Here is an 18,301-nt window from a genome sequence, read left to right as displayed (position 1 = left end):
GGTACCCAGCAGAACCTCCTCAACCCTTGCTCCTTGCTTTCTGACCCCACCCCAGATTATTTTTGAGGGGGTTCGAGGCCCGGGCTACCTGGGGGATATTGCCATAGATGACGTCACACTGAAGAAGGGGGAGTGTCCCCGGAAGCAGACGGATCCCAATAAAGGTGCAAGACGGGAAGGAGGTGGGGGAGCTGAATCTGGAGGGAGCTGTGCGTGGCGGGGGTTCCTGTCTGTTGAGGGAGGGTGTTTGGGTCTGAATAGGGGTTCAGAATGTCTGAGTGATGGGAATCATGTGGCTCTGACTGTGTGAAGGTGTGCCCCACACTCACTCAGGCTGTGTACTTGTGTAAACAATGAGAAGCCTGGCCCCCACCCTCGTGATGAGCATACTGACCTGTTCACGGTATCAGAGCGCCTCCTGTGCCTGTGTCTGAATACATCTGTGCGTACCTCTGGCTCCAGAGGTGAACGTGTGCCTTCCAGGGCCAGAGGTTTCCAATACTAACAGCTCCTACTTACTGAGCAATTACTCTGTACCAGGCAAGGCACACAAACTTGTATATGCATGTTTCACTTACCTCACAACAGTTAATCCTCACAACAGTCCTTTGGGGTAGTACACACCATTGGACCCATTTTACAGATGAGGAAACTGAGGCCCACTGAGGTCAAGTAAATTGTTCCAAGTCTTAGTGAATGTGAACCCTGGCAGGCTGAGCTAACCCCCACCCCACCCCACGCCACCTCATGTCTGTGCGGTGAGTTTGTCTGTGTGCACTGAGGCCAGTGCCCACCCTCAGGCCCTCCAAAGAGGTGGGCAGAGTAACAGTGCCGACCTGCCTGCCACTTCCTGCCCCTGCCAGAGCTGACCAGAGCCCTGGCCTGTCTCCTCTTTCTCCCCTGTTGCAGTGGTGGTGATGCCGGGCAGTGGAGCCCCCTGCCAGTCCAGCCCACAGCTGTGGGGGCCCATGGCCATCTTCCTCTTGGCGTTGCAGAGATGATGAGAGCTGTGTGGCCACCCCCCCAACCTTGCCCCCGGCACACCAAAGTGTCCACATTGTACCAAAGACTGACCCCCGCCAGCTGGGGTGCCCAGGGGCAGGGCCGGCCCGCCAGGGAGGGGGCCTGCATTGGCTGCAAGGATGAGCAGAGAACAAGGACAGAGGCCAGGCACTGAGGCCCTGGAGACAGCTGTTCCACTTGCACACACGCACACACTCATGCTCACACACACAGAGATATATTAAAGCACAAGTTTCTATCTGACCTGCCAGCACCTTCTTTACTGCAAAGACAGGGGACTTGCCTGAATGGCATCCGCCAACCCAGGGACCTCGGCGCAACATAGGCCTTGTCCTTGCTGCACTCGTGGTGTGCTTCTGACTTTACCCTGTCCCCTAAGTCAAGGCCGAACTCCAGCCTGGTGGCTTTGCCAGAAGGGAGCCAGAAGTGGGGCAGACATGGAGCCCCTCCCTTGGTCAGACTCTGGGACTCCTGAGATGGGAGAGGCAGGGATCAGAGGACGAACAGGTGGGACTTTGCGAGCTCTGTGACTGTCCCACGTCCAGGAGACAAGGAAGGTAGGGCACCTGCTGCACACGATTCTGTCCAGAGTGAGCACTGGATGGTGGAGACCATAGGTCACCCCAGATTCCTTGACCTATTTCTGGGACACCATATTTCCCTCCTCAGTGTGCACCCTTTGAAGGGACCCAGCACAGGGTCTTGGGCCTGGGCAGTCTGAAGACTGATAACTTCCCCACTCCACCCTACAAGCAGTGGGACTCCTGAGAACACGGTTCTCTCCTAGCCTCAGCCCCCAGCTGGGTCTCAGAGGAGCTGGGGGAGCGGTGGCCAGCCCATTTTCTGGGGTGAGGCTTGACTTGGAGAAAGGCAGAAGAGACGTCCCGCTTCTGTGATTTGGTGCCCCCATATCAGACAATGAATTTGGAAGTGGAGAGGGGCCTTCATTTCTTATCTACTTGGCATGAAAGGGTGCCCTGGATAGGAGGGTGTGTACAGGGCAAAATGCCAAAAAGCACTGTCTAGTTGAAAGTTCCCTTCTCCACCCAGGGGCAGTGAAGGAGGAGGGGCTTATAGAGCTGGGATTGGTGGAGGGAGCAGGTGCCAGTCCCCTCACTCTCTGGGAGCTGTGAAAGGGATCCCTGTCCTTGGGTCCTGGGTTAGGCACCTGAGATTGACATGATGGGATCTAGATCTTTCCTCCTTGACATCACCTGAGCCCCCACCTAGCCATCCATGGGAGAGAGAAGGCCCAGCCCCTTCTAGAATGACTCTTTAGGCATGCGTGCATATGTGTGTATGTGTTTGTGCCCGTCTGTGTCTAGGTACCACCGTGGGTACATTGTTGGGCAGGAGTGTGTGCAAACACAGGTCTGTGTGTGCAATCTCACATATCTGCCTGTGAGACTGGATTGAGACCCATTCGTTTCTATGAATGTCCGTGTACGTCAGCGTGTGTGTCCACCTTCCTGAGTGATGTGTTCGCTTGTAGGGTGCTGGCTGAATAGACTCTGTCCAGCCCTGTTCTGTAGTCTCAAGCTGCCTGCGATGGCCTGAAATTCCACCTTTCATCCCCTATGGATGACGGAGAGCTTACAGATGACCCTATTGAATGCAAGCACCTTTGGTGAGGAGCATCACAGGGCTCCTTCTGGAGCATTTGGTGGGGACAGCTGCAGAGAAGAGGCCTGGAACTCGGGCAGCACTGCAGTGCCAGGAGGCAGGCGGGGAACCGAGGCAAAGGCTGCCCATCTCCCCCTGCCAGGCCTGTGTGATCATTATCACCAACAGCTGGTGGGTGGCCGGGCCAGGATGCAGCGGGGCCTTCTGATGCCCAATCAGCACGGCTGCCTTCCTGACCCAGTCAAGGCCTCTGTCTGAAATGAGTCGCTCCAGGTTCTCAGCATACACTTCCATCGCGTCTGTCGGGTATTGTTCCTTAACTGTCCCATCTGTGCAGAGTCCATTGCCCCAACTAGACTGTGAGCTCCTCCTCTGAGCCTTCCAAGTCCCCCCTCCACCTTCGCCACCTCCCGCTCGTGCCCAGCACAAGTGAGCCTGGTGTGGAAACCACTCCATTGCCCGGTGGAATGGATTCTGTAATCAGTGGTTCCTGGCCTTGCCTGCAGAATAGAACCACCAGAGTCCTTTAAAAAGTATTGCTGCTTGGTTCCCACCTCAGAGGTTCTGAGTTAATTGGACTGGAGCGCAGTCGGACATCAAGAAATGTTGAAAAGCTCCTTGGGTTCTCCTGACAGCAGGAACCACTGGCCTGGCACCACCTGGGTGCTTCCTCTGTGCCCTCGCTGGGGTAGGCATTGGAGCACCAGAGATGAATAGCCCCAAGTGCTCCCTCTTTGGGGTTCCCAAGGCACCCTGTGCCTGCTTCCCTCAGAGGACCTTCCAATCCATTTGCCCCGCAACCCTGGCTGCTCCGACAGGGGAGACTTGTCTCCCTTGTTCCCCTCAGGATCCATAGAGTGGACAGTAAAGGTGCTCAGTACATGTTGGCTGAGCTGAACTGCATACATGTGGCCCCCAGGTTCCTGGTCTTTATGGACGAAGGGCACAAGGTGGAGGGGGGATGGGGGGATGCTGCTGGAGGTCTCAGTGGGTGCAGACAGCCCTGCCTTGAGGATGGCTTGACCTGGGATTGACAAAATGTGTCTGCTGAAATGCTGAGGTCCCCACGTGTGAATGGGTGAGGCTGATGTGGATGTCTGTGTGTGCCAGCAGGTGGGTGGGGGATGTGGGTGTCAGTGTATGCCAGTGGGCACTGTAAATGTCTAGGCATGTGCTGGTCTCTGTGTGTTTGTGTGTTCCTCAGCAGGAATGAGTGTCTTTGTGTATCACCTGGTGACTTGTCAGTGTCTGTGTCTGTGTGTGCCTGTGAGCCAGCATCTCTGTATCAGTGTTGCTCATGCTGTGTCTTTGTGCGCCATGGTGTGTCAGTGTCTGTGTGTTGATGGGTGGCCCATGAGTGACCCCCGCCAGGGGAGACCAGGCTGGCTGGATCCAGCACATCTCCCCAGTGGCAGCCTCGCCCTCTGGGTCAGGGTGACTGAGGCATTTTGTGGCCTTAAAACGGGGTGTTCAGGGTCAGCCCTCAGGGTGCTGGGGCCCTTCCATCCCTTGTCCCCTTCAGGTTGGTGAAAAGGACTCCGGGGGCCAGGTGCTGTATAGCAGCTTATGGAAGTCTCAGCTGGGCTATCCTGCCCTTGGGAGCACAGACAGGCTCCTAGGGTGCTGAGTGAAGCCTGAAGACCAAGCCCCCTCCTCCTGGAATGCTCCTTCCACCCCTACCTCTCAGAGATGGGCCTGACACCTCTTTCTCATTCATTCTCCTTTTCCCTGTGCTCTGGGAAAGCCCCTGGCTCAGGCTGTCAGAGTGAGGATGGACCTCAAAAGTTTGATCCCCTCGTGCAGATGAAGAAGCTGAAGCCCAGAGTGGGGAAGGGGAGTGGCCCAAGGTCACACAGCTAGTTTGAGTAGAGCCAGTCTTGGGAGAGCCAAGTACTACAGCCCTGGGGGTGTCACACCGCTTGTCACTGCCCCTGAGGTCTCCTGCCAAACAACTGCAGGGAGTTTGGCTAACAGTCCTGTGTCCAGGGTGCCGGTGGGGATGTTATAGATGTTGCTGGGATCCTGCCCTCGGCTCCAAATTCTGGCCTCTCATCCCAGGCTGCAGACCCTTCTGCCCCATGACAGGCCTGGGTGCCACACAGAGGTGGCCACCCTCCCACCACAGTGTCTGCAGCTGCTGCCCTTCTCCCAGGCCCCCAGACAGAAGAGACCCTGTTTCCCCTCCTCTCCCCTGTGACTTCACAAGAGCTTGGGCTAGGAGTGAAGGTCAGCATGTTCTCATGTGCTCATCCTCTTGGTTTCCCCAAAGACCGGGAGGGTCACGGATGGGGCGTGCAGAATCCTTGTGTTTTTTCTCGCTGGGCAGCTTGAGGGGCTGGGGAGTATTCCCAGGGTCTTTGCTCTGGAGAGTCCCTGCAGAGCCACTGGCTGAGGTTGGGTTCAGGGTTCAGCGGAGTCCTCCATGCTTCCAAAGGCCGGGAAGCACCCGCCTCTCTATCGAGTCAGTGCTGTGCGTGTGTGTCTGAGAATGTGTGTGATGTGTGGAGTGTGCGTGTGTTTGTGTGTGTGTGTGTGTGTGTTGGGGCAGAAGGACCACTCTTTCCTGGGGATCCCTTGACCCTTATAACTAGAAGGGACCTTAGGGAGCATCTAAGCTGGTGCCCCCATTGTACAGGCGAGGTCCAGAGGGATGGCATCTGCCCACCCCACCCCTTGCCCTCTTGTTGCCTGCACTCATTTCCCAGGGACCCTCCTAGGATAGGACTGCCCTCCTTCCTGGCCCCCTCCCGCCATCCTCCCAGCCACCCACATAATCACCATCTCAGCCCAACTCTGGTGGCCCTCTAGGTCTCCATGCATTCTTCCTGCCCTAGAGTAGCCAGCTCACCAAGGCCTTTATCCCCAGCCCAGGAGAAGGGTCAGGGAGGGAAGGGGCTGCACCAGCCCTGAGACCTCAAAGACTTGGGAGAAAAGCCAAAACTCCTCATGCCCAGGCCCACATGTCTGACCACCCCAGCCCACCCCGCCACCAAGGTAAAAGCACAACAGGAGACCCCCTTATTAATGGGTGAAATGATTGGGGTTGTTTTTTTAGTCACACAGCCCCATCCTCACCCCTTTGCCTTGCTGTCTGTCTCCACCCCAGCCTCTGTTCCCCATTTGCCTCTCTTTCACCTCCAAGCCCCCAAATGTAACCTCTAGTTGCGGACGCGGTTGTTCTATCAATAAAGCTGCAGTGTTCTAGCGCTCAGCGTCAGCCGTGTGTGTTGGCAGGGCAGAGTGGGCCAGGGTCGGGGCCGGGGCACTGGAGGGCTCCTCTCAGCTCCCTGGGGGCAGCCTTTCTTCTCTTTGGCACCTGTCGACAGGGATCCTGCTCTGTGGCCTGGACAGTGAGGACCTGCATCCTGGTCTGCTCCCAGTGAACTTGTGTGCATTTGTTCATTCAGCAAATACCAACCAAACACTGCCTTTGTGGAAGCCCCTGTTTAATGGGAGAGATGGACAGTAAGCTAATAATGACACCAAGACATATATAATGATGTGTACAGTGAGGGCTGGGAAGGGAAATTGGTGCTATGAAAGAAGGTATGAAGAGGGTTCTTATTTGGGTTGGGGCTTCGGGGAAGACTTCTCTAAGAGACATTTAGGAGAGACAGAATGATTGGAGTTAGCCTGTTGGGATTGGGAGAGGCTTCTGAGCAGAGGGAACAGAATATGCAAAGGCCAACAGGGCCCAAAAACTTAGAAGGCTCAAGGAAGGGGAGTAAGGGCAAAGGAGGAGGACTAAAGTTGGTATGGTGGTTGAAATGCCATTTTCCCTTCTCGGCACCCAACCCTACCATCCCTCCTACACGCTTGGAGTCCCTTCCCTCTTAATCTCTATTCTGGCCCTACAGACCCCACCCTGCACCCTACTTGGGGCTGCCTCCCTTATTCACCACCAGCTAGCTGCATCCTTGCCCTAAGATCAAGTTATGCCAACCTTTCCCTTTACCCCAGACCTCTCAGAATTCTAGAATTTCAGAGCTAGGAGGTCCTTAAAGGTCACTTATTTCAAACATCTACTCATATATTGTAGGTGAGATGGGCTTGCCAAGGTCATGGGGATAGGCAGTGATGAGCATTTGCAAAGTGACCCCAAATCAAGGGTGTGGATGTCATGATATGGACTACATCATATCAGGCAAATGACAGGAAGTGTCTTTCAGGTTACTTGGTTACAATGATTCAGGTAGGTCGATTGGGCAGTTTCACTTCCATGTTCCAGATGGGGAAACTGAAGCTCAGATTACAAGACCAAGGGCTCCCTCTCCCTACCACCTAAGTTTTATTGGCTCTCATGTTGGGTAACTTCTTGCTGGCACACCTGGCCTTTCTTTTCTAATGGAAGAGGAAGGGTCTAAGGGACTCACCACTGCTGTAGGTTGGCTCCCTGAGCACAGGAAGAGAAATCCGCTCAAGCTCACTCAAGTACAGGTGCATTATTGTGAGGACAAACACAGTGAGGGGGATGGGCACTCAGAAATCCAAACAGGAGTTGCAACAGGGATGGTTTTCCTGAACCAGATGGGCATTTTGGATTCAAGGTAGCTCTAGGATCATCATCTACAGAAGTTTCTGGTGCTTCTGTATTCTTCTGGTGCTTCTGTATTCTACCTGTGGTAGAATAAAGATGGCTGCAAATCCCATGTTATCCTTCCTGTAGAGAGGCAGAGTCTAATTCCCTTCCTCTTGAATCTGGGTTGCTCTTAGTGCCTTGTTTGTGCAATAGAATGTGACATGCTGAGTTGAAGATGCCTTGGAGCTTCAGCTCAGGCCTCTTGGAACGTTCTCTCTGGAAGCCCTGAACTGCCACCTAGGATGTCCTCTGAGTTGCTCTGAGACCGTCATGCTGGAGGGGCTCTGGCTGACCATCCCAGCTGAGTCCAGCCTTCCAGCCATCTCCACCAAAGCACCAGAAGATATGGGAGTGCAGCTGCCTCAGACCTTCCAGACCAGCCTAACTGCCACCTGAATTGCTCGGCCAAGCTCTGTCCAAATTCCTGACCCATCGTCATGGGATATAATAAAATAGTTGTTTTAAGCCCCTGCGGTTGGGAGTAGTTTTTGACAACAGCAATAGATGACCACCCTGGCATGACTCAGTCACTCCCCAGCATCTGCTGCTTTTTGTCCATGCAGTTCCTCTCCTGAGTCATGGTGTCTGCTTCCTCATAACTTCAGCTTTCCAGGCATCATGACCTCTCCAGCTCAACTCTCCTTCATGGCCTTCCGGTAGCAGCTGCCAGCATTCACTGACTCAGCCGCTCAGGATAATGGGCTGATTGGACAGGCCCCCATTTCAGGTCTAGCCACACATACATCATTGGGCAACCTGTGGGTTGGCTGCCCTTGAGTCAGATGCCACCCTGATCCAACCAGCTGGGCTGGAGGAAGGGGTCATGGACATGAAACAAGGCTACCTGGGGGCTGCCATTTCTAGGCAGTTTGTGGGTGGACCCACTTAGGAGGGGCAGGAGGCTGGCAGGCACCGAAAACACACCTCCTTGCATCTTCCCTCTTTCTCCCCTCCTCTAGTGACCATTCATTCCCAGGGGCACAGTAATGCAGTGTATGTACCATGAAAGTCCTCCAAGTGGCCCTGTCCAAGGGCAGGTCCCATTGCAAACTGTACAGGTAGGTCAGGTAACTTACAGCAACCGAGTCCTCTGTTATCAGGACTTTGACATATATATTGTTAAAGAACATAGCCAATTTACTTAGCTTATTTTTATTTATTTTTTAAGACAAGGTCTCACTCTGTCACCCAGGCTGGATTGCAATGACACAATCTTGGCTCACTGAAACCCCCACCTCCCAGGTTCAAGTGATTCTCATGCCTCAGCCTCCCAAGTAGCTGGGATTATAGTCATGTGCCACCATACCCAGCTAATTTCTGTATTTTTAGTAGAGGTGGGTCTTCACCATGTTGGCCAGGCTGGTCTCAAACTCCTGGCCTCAAGTGATCCACCCGCCTCAGCCTCCCAAAGTGTTGCAATTACAGGCGTGGGCCACCGCACCCAGCCAGGACTCTAATATTTTTATTTTCATATCACAGATGAGCAAAGTGAGGCTCAGAAAGGTGATGTGGTTACCCTAGCTCAGAAAATTCAGGAGAGGAAGAACCCAGAGGGAGATCTAGGTTTTTGACTTCTGGTGCGATGTGCGTTCACATCAGCCAGAGTCCCTCCTCTTCTTCCTCTCCTTGGAGATCACTCTGCTTTTCCCACCAGCTCTTCCCCAGGGGCTGGGAGAAGCAAGGCCTTTCCCTGTGAGGCTCGGGCTCCAGTCCTCTGCTTCAGATGGAGACCGTCCCTGTTCCTGCTTTTCTATTTCTAGCTTTTTGCATGTCCTTTATTGAAAGCTACTGTAACACCTTTTCAGAAAAGGGTTGGGTATAAATAAACACAAGAAAAAAGTCGAAACTCTCCTCCTTGAAGTCACCCCAAACCTGGGTGGAGGCATCCTTCCATACTGCTTCTTGAACCCCCGCTCCCAAATTCATCTTTCCTGGCCGTGCGTGCCCAGCGTGTTTCCTGTTCTGAGGTCCACTTGGCAGGGCCCCCGAATGCAAATCCCACCACCACATCCATCGCCCTGTCTTGTTAGCTGTTTGGCCTTCTCTAAAGATGTTTTGAATTGCCCATTTTTCTCAGGTCCCCTGGGGCCAGCCACAGTTCAGCAGAGTAGACTCAGCACCCTGTGAGTCCTCATTCCATCTATATACGCCACCCTCCATAAGCAGAGTCCCTCTCTGTCACCCCCCGTGCCGTTCCCCCAGAACCACCCGCCAGTTCACTCTCATCTGAGAGGCGGTGAGAAATAGAGTAAAACATGAGTCAGAGAGGCTGAGAGTGCCGAACGTCCACACAGTGGGAGTCTGTGCTGCCATTTAAAGATGTCCATAATATATTGTCGAGAGAGAATGGCAGATTAGAAAGCGCATGCCTGTTACTATCTTTTTTATGTAATAACATCTGTGTATATATGAGCATATGCATTTTTTTTTTGTCCGAAAGACTATTCACTGGAATGTGAATAGTAGTTATCTCAGCAGTGAAATTTCAGATGCTTCTGACTCACATCTTTAGGCTTTCTGTATTGTCTGAATATTTTTTCATGAACATATAATTTTTTTAATAACCAGGGGAAAAAATCTATTTTCTCGAGAAAATAAAAGCCAGAAGTCATCAAGGACTATAGATTAGAAATAAAGGTCACTTTCTGTTCTTAGCATTATTTTTATAACTGTACATCACAGAGTCTGGGAAAGGGCTTTGAACTTGAAATCTTTTCCTGCTGATTTATTCAAATAAAAATGCTCATGCAGTGGGGGAGGCGAGGGGGAAGAATTGGGTTGAGTTTACCAGGGGCAAGGCAGAGGGGATGTCGAGCCAAGCTTTCAATAACAGAAATTCCAAAGAGAAGAACACGACCTCCAGCAACAAACACTAACATTTAGTGTTATATCTGATGCCCATGCAGTGTGTGCGACTGTGTGTGCACAAGTGTGCATGTATGCTTGCACACATGTGAGTGTATGTACATGCCCACACATGTAAGCCTGCGGCAGCCTTGACCATATGATGAATTATGAAGCAAGTGGCTAATTGAGATGCCCAGGGTCAGTGGTTGCTGCAGTCAGAGTGGGAAGGGCCCAAGAAAGTATAAAAACTACAGCTCCTCTGCCTGCCCAACTCCTCACCTTCCTCCTCAGCCTCTCTTGTCCTCACCCAGACTCAGGGCCCAGGAGGGGAAACTGAGGCATAGAGCAAGGGAAGGAGTGGGAAAGAGGACCTGGAGAGCCAGAACTCCTGTGTTCTATCACTCTATCTAAGGCCTCCCTTTCACCCTCTCCTTCTTTTGACTCAAGAATCCCAGGTCCCTGGAACCCCCCCAAAAGCAGGAGAGAGAGGGAAGAATCAGTCATCTGAGGATCAATATACTGGACTACTAGTTACTAAACCCAAATATACATTTAAAAATAAAAGAATAATCCCTCCCATGTGCACAGCCCTTCCAAGTTTACACTGATTTCTCCTTTTACCCTCATGCTATCCCTGAGAAGATGTCAATAATGCCCACGTTACAGGTGGGAAAACTGAGGCTTAGAGAGGAGGAGGAATCTGCCTACGGTCACACAGCTGCAAAGGCTAGAGCTGGGACCAGGAGCTGGTCTCTTAACCGACCACCTGGTGAGCTTTCCATAGCTACCTTTATATCTTAAAAACATGTTTCGAAAGTAGTATCACCCAAGCACCATGTGTTCATTAGGGGGAAAAACCCTAAGGGAAGAAAAATGAAAATTACAAGGCTTTCAGATGAAGTTTGGGAGGTCCTGAGTGGGGGCTGGGTGATGGGGGACTGCCAGAAAGAATGGAGCTCCCCTTGGCAGCACCCAGGGCTGACTTTTTCCTGGAGCTAGTCCAGAAAGAGGTGCTGGAGGCAGCAGGTGGGTTCTGAAGAGGCCATGTAGAGATGGAGGTTGGCAAAGAGAAGCCTGCTTAACAGTACAGGCCTCAGAGCCTCACAGACCTGGATTTGAATCCAGGCTCTTTCCTCCACTTACTAGCTGTGTGACCATGGACAAGTTACTAAACCTCTCTGAGCCTGAGTGTTTTTCTCCACCTGTAATGTGAGAATAAGAGTAAGGATGAAACGAAATAACTTGTCTAAAACACTTGGCACAGTTGCTGATGCAGAATAGGTGACTAGCAAGTGTTAACTCATCATCATCATCATCATTATTTGGAAGGGCAACACTTAATGCACCTGCTGGGCATGGTGGTTCATGACTGTAATCCCAGCACTTTGGGAGGCTGAGGCAGGTGGATCACTTGAGGCCAGGAGTTCGAGACCAGCTTGACCAACATGGTGAAACCCTGTCTCTACTAAAAATATAAAATATAAAAATTAGCCGGGTGAAGTAGTGGGTGCCTGTAATCCCAGCTACTTGGGAGGCTGAGGCAAGAGAATAGCTTGATCCTGGAAGGCGGAGGTTGCAGTGAGCCGGGATTGTGCCACTGCACTCCAGCCTGGGCAACAGAGCAAGACTCCGTCTCAAAAAAAAAAAAAAAAAAAAAAAAAAAAAAAAAAAAAAAAAAAGCAAGCACCTAAGAGCCCACTGCAGCATGTTCATAGATATGAAACCTGGGTATCCATGGGCTGGGAGTGGGAGGAATCTCCCCTTTCCCCATGGCTGGGCCAGTCCCCAAAGGCTCCTTGAAGGAGGTCCTCTTCAAGGTTAGATAGACAAAGGCCAGGAACACAGATGCAGGGAGGCAGCTGCTTGGCTTTGAGGGAAACCAGGGGCGTTGGAGATGACCAAGGGTCCAGACCGGCCTCTTGCTCCCCCTTCCTCTTTAGGACACCTGGGGCATTGGCAGCCCCCGGCAGCACTGGCATCTCCCTTCCTCTCATGAATGTGAGACATCTCATGAGGCCTCGCTCCAAATAAGCTGAGTGTGTGGGCAAACTCACCCCACAATGAGGGGAGCAGGATGGGCTGGCCTGTGCAGCCTGAGGAGGGCCTGCAGGGAGGAGGGGAGGGGGCAAGAATTGGGACCACCCCTTTCCTAGACTCCTCCTCCACTCAGCAGGCAGAAAGCCCCCTTGGAAACGCTCAGTCCCTTGATTAGAAGTGTCCAGGGCTTTTCCTGATGTTAAAAGTTCTCAAGAGATGAGATTTCCAGGACTTTCCAGGGTCCAACACTCATTTGTTTTATTATCTCACTCCTCATAGGAGGTTTTTTCTTTTTAAAATCCAACTTGATCTTTCCTGCTGCAACCTGGCCAGATGCTATCACACCAAGCTCCTCTGTCCCTCCAGCATCGCCCATGGCTGACCTGCCCACGGGGAGGCGGGCTGCAGGCTTCGCTGCCCTGTGTGGGTCCCATGTCCCCTGCGGAGCCCAGCACTGGGCTCTGCGCATAGCAGGCTCAAGGGCTCTGGAGTGCGCATGCTTAGTGGCCCCTGCAAGTGCCTGCTGATCTCTACCTGAAGATGCGGGCTAGAGGGCTGGGTCCTGTTTCCGCAGAAAGAAGGGAGGGAAGAGGGAGAGAAGTTGGAGAAGAGGTGAAGAGAAACAGAGGCTGAGCCCAGAGAGTGAGAAGAACACTGTTAAGGAGGAGTGCCTGGACCCACATTCTGGCTTGCGACGTTGAATAAGCCAGCCCTCTCTCTGGACTCGAATGTCCCTGTAAATTGGGAGAAGGCTGGGGAGGCTTGAAGCTGAAGGTTCCTTCAGCTCTGGGATTCAATGAAATGAGGGAGTGGGGTGTTTCTAAGCAATGCAGAGAAAGGGGGCCCCCCACAGAAAGGTAAATGGAAAACAGGACACAGCCCTGCTTCTGTTTGTAGTCCTGAGCATCTAACTCTGTCCCCGCCCCAACACTGGGGACCCCCATTACCCAGGCCTAAGTGGGAGCTCCTTAATCTTCTTCCGCTTCCCACCCCAATCCTTGAACCGGGCCCCACCCCAGCCAAGAGGCAGGCAGGTGGCGGGAGCTGCAAGACCGAGACCGGCGTCTTGGCCGGGAGCCCGGCAGGGCGTGGGCACCGAGCGGCCCACAGCCGGCGGAGCGGGGCGGGTGGAGCAAGCGGCGGGCTCTGGGCTTCAGGCTCCGCGCCCAGGGGCGGGCAGCCTGCTCCGCACCAGCGGCGTCGGCCGGAAGATGAGCGGGATCTGGCTGCATCCTGAGGCAGGGGGTCTTAGCGAGGTGGGCTGGGTGTCAGGAGCACTGTAGAGCCCAGCCAAAGTCAGGAAGGACAGAGCTAGCCCCCAGGGAGGATGGCTGCAAGGTGCAGGAGGCTGTAGGTGGACCTGGGCTGGGGGCTGCTAGAATTGGGGCTTGGAGGGAGACTCCTGCCGTCCATGAAGCCCCAGAGGCATTAGAAAAGCCCTGTCCAGCCAGGACCCTCTACCCTGGTGGTGGGCATGGCGCAGTCCATCCAGAAGGTTCCCAGGAAGTCACTGGCCTTGCCCTGGACACCCTGTCCTGGAGGGAGGAGTGAGGGTGGAGGTTGGCAAAGGGCGGATTCTGTCCCTTCACTCCCTTCATCCTGAGTCCAGAGATAAGGACAGGATCGGGGGTGGGGGACGGAAAGTCCCACTTCCACTCTCCCTAGGGTGGGAATTTGAGGGTTTTTTGTTTGTTTGCTTTTGTCTAAAACTTGAAGAGCAGAGAAGGTTCTGGATGGGCCAATCTCTCCCTGCCGCTACCCTCCTTCAGGACAGGACTCCCCTGGGGGCTCCAGTGGAAGTGGCATTGGAGGGGTTGGGGAGTGTGCGGCATCCGGGTGACTTCTGGCCTCTGGACTGGAGGGAGGTGGGGTCCAGATCCCCATCCTTTGGTGAGCAGGCCCGACTCTGAGGAAGTTGTTACCCCTCTTCTGTCAGCCTTGGCCACACCTTGCCCCCAGGGCCTGTCTGGCACAGGGCCACAGCTTTGGAGGTTTCCACACATCTTTCTTCTTGTCTCTCTCACTCACCTGTCTCCATGGGAACAGGCTTCAGGGCTGGCAGAGATGACTGAAGTCTGTGGCCCTCAGACCTGAGCAGGGTCTGGCCTTTCCTGGCTGGTGAGAATCCAATCAGTTTCGAGATGCTGCCAAGGTAATAAGGAGTGGAGGGAAGCTGTAGTCACCCCCTCCAATGGCCGGCCGGATTCCTCCTTATAATACCCTTCCAGCCTTGCTTGAATTCTGCCAGTGACCAGGAGCTCAGCACTTTGCCAGGCTTGCTTACTCACTGTCAGCCAGTAAGCAGTGAGGACTATCCCCTCCCAGCCCTCTGTATCCTGGGCCATGTTGGGGGAAAGGCCACAGAAGAACAGAGGCAGGAGCTCTGCTCTGCACCCCTCAATGTTCCAGAATGCACTGAGAAACCCCAGGGTGTTGCCCTTGAGTCACTCAATGAAGCTATGACTCTGTCTTGAGAAATGGTGTAATGCCAGTGGGAGAGGTGAGACTGGGATCTTGGGGTCTGGGTTCTGGTCCGAGCTCTGCCGTGGATTTTCTTCTCATCTGTGGGCCTCAATCTTGCCACCTGCAAAATGGGAGGAGTTAGGATTGAATTATTTCCATAGGGCCTTCAAAGTCCTGACTTCCAGTGTTCTGTGTTTTATTTGCTATTAGGGTAAAGGATCAGATCAGGCATAAGGAACCAATAGCCCCAAACAGGTTTTCGTTTGTTTGTTTTTGTTTTTTGTTTTTGTTTTGTTTTGTTTTGTTTTGTCTGTATCTCTTGGTTAGCAAAGATGGATTTCTGCAACACACATTTAATCCCAGGGTCGCTGCCTGCATGTGGGACACAGCACCTTTGTCTGTCCCCATAGGCTTTGTCCAGGTTCTTAGGCTTGTCTGAGTCCTGTTCCTTTTTCCAGAAACTGCATCTTCCTCAAGCCGTGGTAGATTTCTGTCTCTTATTTTGTCCCATGAGTTACCCCAGCCCTTCTCCCAGGTGCCCTGTGCACCCTGGATCCGTCCCTCATCCTGACTCCAGAAGCTCTGGCCTCCTTCCTGCCTCTACACCCCAGGGGCACCACCTTTCTCTCCACTGTCTGCTTTTCCCTTCCTGGAACCTAATTCTGGGAGTTCTCCTTCCTACCGGGGCTGGGGAGAACGTAGTTGCATTTTTTCCTACATGGGGTTTGTTCATTCATTCACTCACTCAGTCACTGTGGCAGCCACTGTTGGTTGCACCAATGAGGAGACTCGGGAGGATAATCCTATCTTGTCCCTCTGGCCCTCCCCCAGCTTCCTGCCCAATGGGCATGACTGTGTGACATTGTCATGCCTGGAACAGTGCTAGCCGACCTGTGACCATGATGCATCAAGCTCCAGAATAAAAATCAACACTGTGAAGACGGTGAAGCAAAAAGGTGGAATGAGCCTGGGGTTCTTGATGAGTGATTTGCTGTCAAACCAACCCTGAAACCACCCCCCTCCACACTTCCTGTTGAGTACACAAATGTCATACAGTTAAAGCTTTATAAATGAAGTATTGTGGTCTTTTGCTATCACTATAACAGCAAAAATTTAGACATTCACTTAATTGGCCATTCACTTACTCATGAATTCACTCACACATGTATTCACCTTCTTGTTGTACTGATTAGGATAGAGGTTCAGATGCTCTAACAGAGATCTCCAAAGAGCGGTGGCTAAATTAAATATAAATGTAGTTCTCTCTTATGTAACAGTCTGGCTGTAAGTAGTCAAGGGCTGGGATGTCAGCTCCAAGATCTCAGGGACCCAGGACACTTCTAGTTAGTTGCCCCAACATCCCTGGGGTGTTCTCTTGTCCATATGGTCCAGGATGTTTTACCACCATGTCACATTTCAACTGGAGGGAAGGAGGAAAGGTAAAGGGAGGGCCTGGTTCTTTTGTAAAAATATGATGCGGAAGTTAAATATCCCACACATCGCCCACATCTCATTGACCAAAACTTAGTTATATGGCCACTCCTAGCTGCAAAGGAGGCTGGGAAATGCATATTCTATTCTAGGGTGCTGTCTGTCCAGCTATAAATTATTTTTGTTTTGCTATAAAAGAAGGTGAGAAACAGGTATTGGTTGGGGGAGGAGGGCAATTGGCAGTCTTATTAATTTTTCTCATTCACACCATTCATTCATTCATTCAATAAACATATTGAATACATACTATGTTGAAAGCACTGGGTTAGATGCCAGGATCCCAGCCTTCAGGTTCCTCATGGTCTAGGGGGAGGATAAGGAAAGTCTAGATATTCGAATCCAACAAACTTTGTGAGCACCTGCTCTGCCCAGACATACATCCAAACTGAAATGCAAAAAGCACCAGTGACATTATGTTTTTAGGTCAGTCACTGTCCACTTTGACTACCTGCCCCCTCATGTCCCCTCTCCCTGACTGAGCCCAGGAAGGGAGGACAGTGACAAGAGCAAGTGAGAGCATGCCCCTCAGAACAAATGTTTGCTTAGGAAAATCCTTCTTGGTTCCTGACTAGAATCCTGCTTGCCGAAATGTGCTCTCACTTTTTGTTCTTGGGCATGATGGTCATTCGTATTGGCCTCTGCCTTGGGGCCTCATCAGATGCTAGCAGTGTGGGGAGCAGTGGAGAAGACACGGACCTCCTAGCAGTGGTCCTGCCTGCCAAAGAAAGGCTGTCAGTTTCCCACCCTTGGGGTAGCATGGTGGCTCAGTGTCTTTGGGAAGCAGAGAGTCTGTGAGAATGGTCCCTACTGTGTGCCTGGCACACAGCGAGTGCACCATGGGAGCCTGATAAATGGATGAATGAAGAATCAATGAATGCACGGTAGGTAGATTGTACTTTTCAATATGGACCTCAGAAATATTTCTGGTCCTATGTTAGCTCTTCCATGACCTGGCAACTCCTCATCAAAAGGTACATCTGTTTTCTCTCCTCTTGAAATGGGGCTGATTTGTGACTGCCTCCATCAATAGAACGCTTTTGCAGAAGTGACACTGCACGACTTTAGAAGCTAGGCCATAAAAGGCACATAGCTCTGCCTGGGTCTGTCTGTTTGTCTGTCTGTCTTTCAGGAGAGCCCAGTCACCATGCTGGGAGAAAGCACAGGCTGTATGGAGACACCACATGTTTTAGACAAAGCCCAAAGTCTCAGCCCATAACCAGCATCAGCCTCCAGATATGTGAATAGCGAGTTTGAGATCATTTCAGCCCCCATCCTTTCAGCCAGCCCAGATGATGCTGGGCAGAGTAGAGAGATCTTTCCCCCACCAAATCCTGCCCAAATTGAAGAATCCTGAGCAAAAGAAATGTTGCCATTGTTTTAAGCCACTAAGTTTTTGTAGTGGTTTGCTCTGCAGAACAGCCTGGTAGATTTCAAATGGCCACAAATCCTTTGCAGCTTCTCCCACCAAGAGATGGCGTCTATTTCCCTACCTCTTGAATCTGCGCTGGCTTTGACCAAGAGAATACACCCGCAATGATGTTGTGCAACTTCTGTTTTCACTTTCTTGCTGCCCTGAGACTGCCATGTGAAAGGGCCAAGCTATCCTGCTGGATCAAAGTCCAGCCAACAGCCAGCACCAACCTCCAGACATGTGAGTGAGTTCACATCAACCATCCTGCCCCAGTCAAGCCACTGGCTGCAGCCACATGAATGACCCCAGGAAGAGCCCAGTCCAGATCACTGACCACAGAATTGGGAGTAAATAAAATGGTTCTTGTTTTAAGCCACTTCACTTAGTACACATCAATAGATAACTGATCATATCAACTTCCTATTTCTCAAACAGCTTTTGAACCAAGAGGTATTTTGTGTGCCCAGGGTTGTGCCAGGTGTGGGGATGGGCATAGTAGATGAGATTCTCGTCCTCCAAGAGTTGATTGCTTGGTGAATCAAGGCTCACAGTGGAGTAGATTGCTAGTTGACAACGCAGATTCATCCTCCCTTCCTCATGCTGATGGAACTGCAGGCCAGGCGCTCATGGCTGCCCAGATGCACCGTGCTTCCCAGCCTCCCTTGCCAAGCTCGCTCCAATGGCAAGTGAAAGGAAGTGATGGAGGCCACTTCAGTCCTGACCCTGTAGGAGAGTGGGGCTGTCCTTCACCCTAGGGGAATGATGGAGGAACAAGATGGAGGGAGCCAGGGTCTCCACGTCACCTTTGGAGGAGAGCTGCTCACTAC

The 18,301-nt window shown here is 52.2% G+C and overlaps 1 protein-coding gene across 4 annotated transcripts in view, besides 2 other annotated features; it reads left to right on the top strand.

Moving 5' to 3' along the window:
* The window catches only part of MDGA1 (MAM domain containing glycosylphosphatidylinositol anchor 1), a 67,205-nt gene extending 59,515 nt beyond the window's left edge, over nt 1–7,690 (top strand). For 2 of the 4 annotated variants that reach the window (XM_006715056.4, XM_047418637.1), the window contains exon 16: nt 56–903. In XM_006715056.4, the coding sequence (XP_006715119.1) occupies nt 56–310 (255 nt within the window). In that variant the 3' untranslated portion in view covers nt 311–903. The other 2 variants (NM_153487.4, XM_017010734.2) reach the window with 2 other exon arrangements.
* Nucleotides 6,716–6,765: an enhancer, noted in NCBI's record as "active region_24477". NCBI's record gives its function as "activates an Ori minimal core promoter by ATAC-STARR-seq in GM12878 lymphoblastoid cells {active_cell/tissue: GM12878}" and the evidence as "EXISTENCE:reporter gene assay evidence [ECO:0000049][PMID:35858748]".
* Nucleotides 13,102–13,331: a silencer, noted in NCBI's record as "silent region_17143". NCBI's record gives its function as "represses an Ori minimal core promoter by ATAC-STARR-seq in GM12878 lymphoblastoid cells {active_cell/tissue: GM12878}" and the evidence as "EXISTENCE:reporter gene assay evidence [ECO:0000049][PMID:35858748]".

Source organism: Homo sapiens, chromosome 6 (genome assembly GCF_000001405.40).
Source record: "Homo sapiens chromosome 6, GRCh38.p14 Primary Assembly".
NCBI classification, from domain to species: Eukaryota; Metazoa; Chordata; class Mammalia; order Primates; family Hominidae; genus Homo; species Homo sapiens.
The sequence above is the reverse complement of the archived record's forward strand: the minus strand, read 5'-3'. Positions and strand labels throughout refer to the sequence as shown.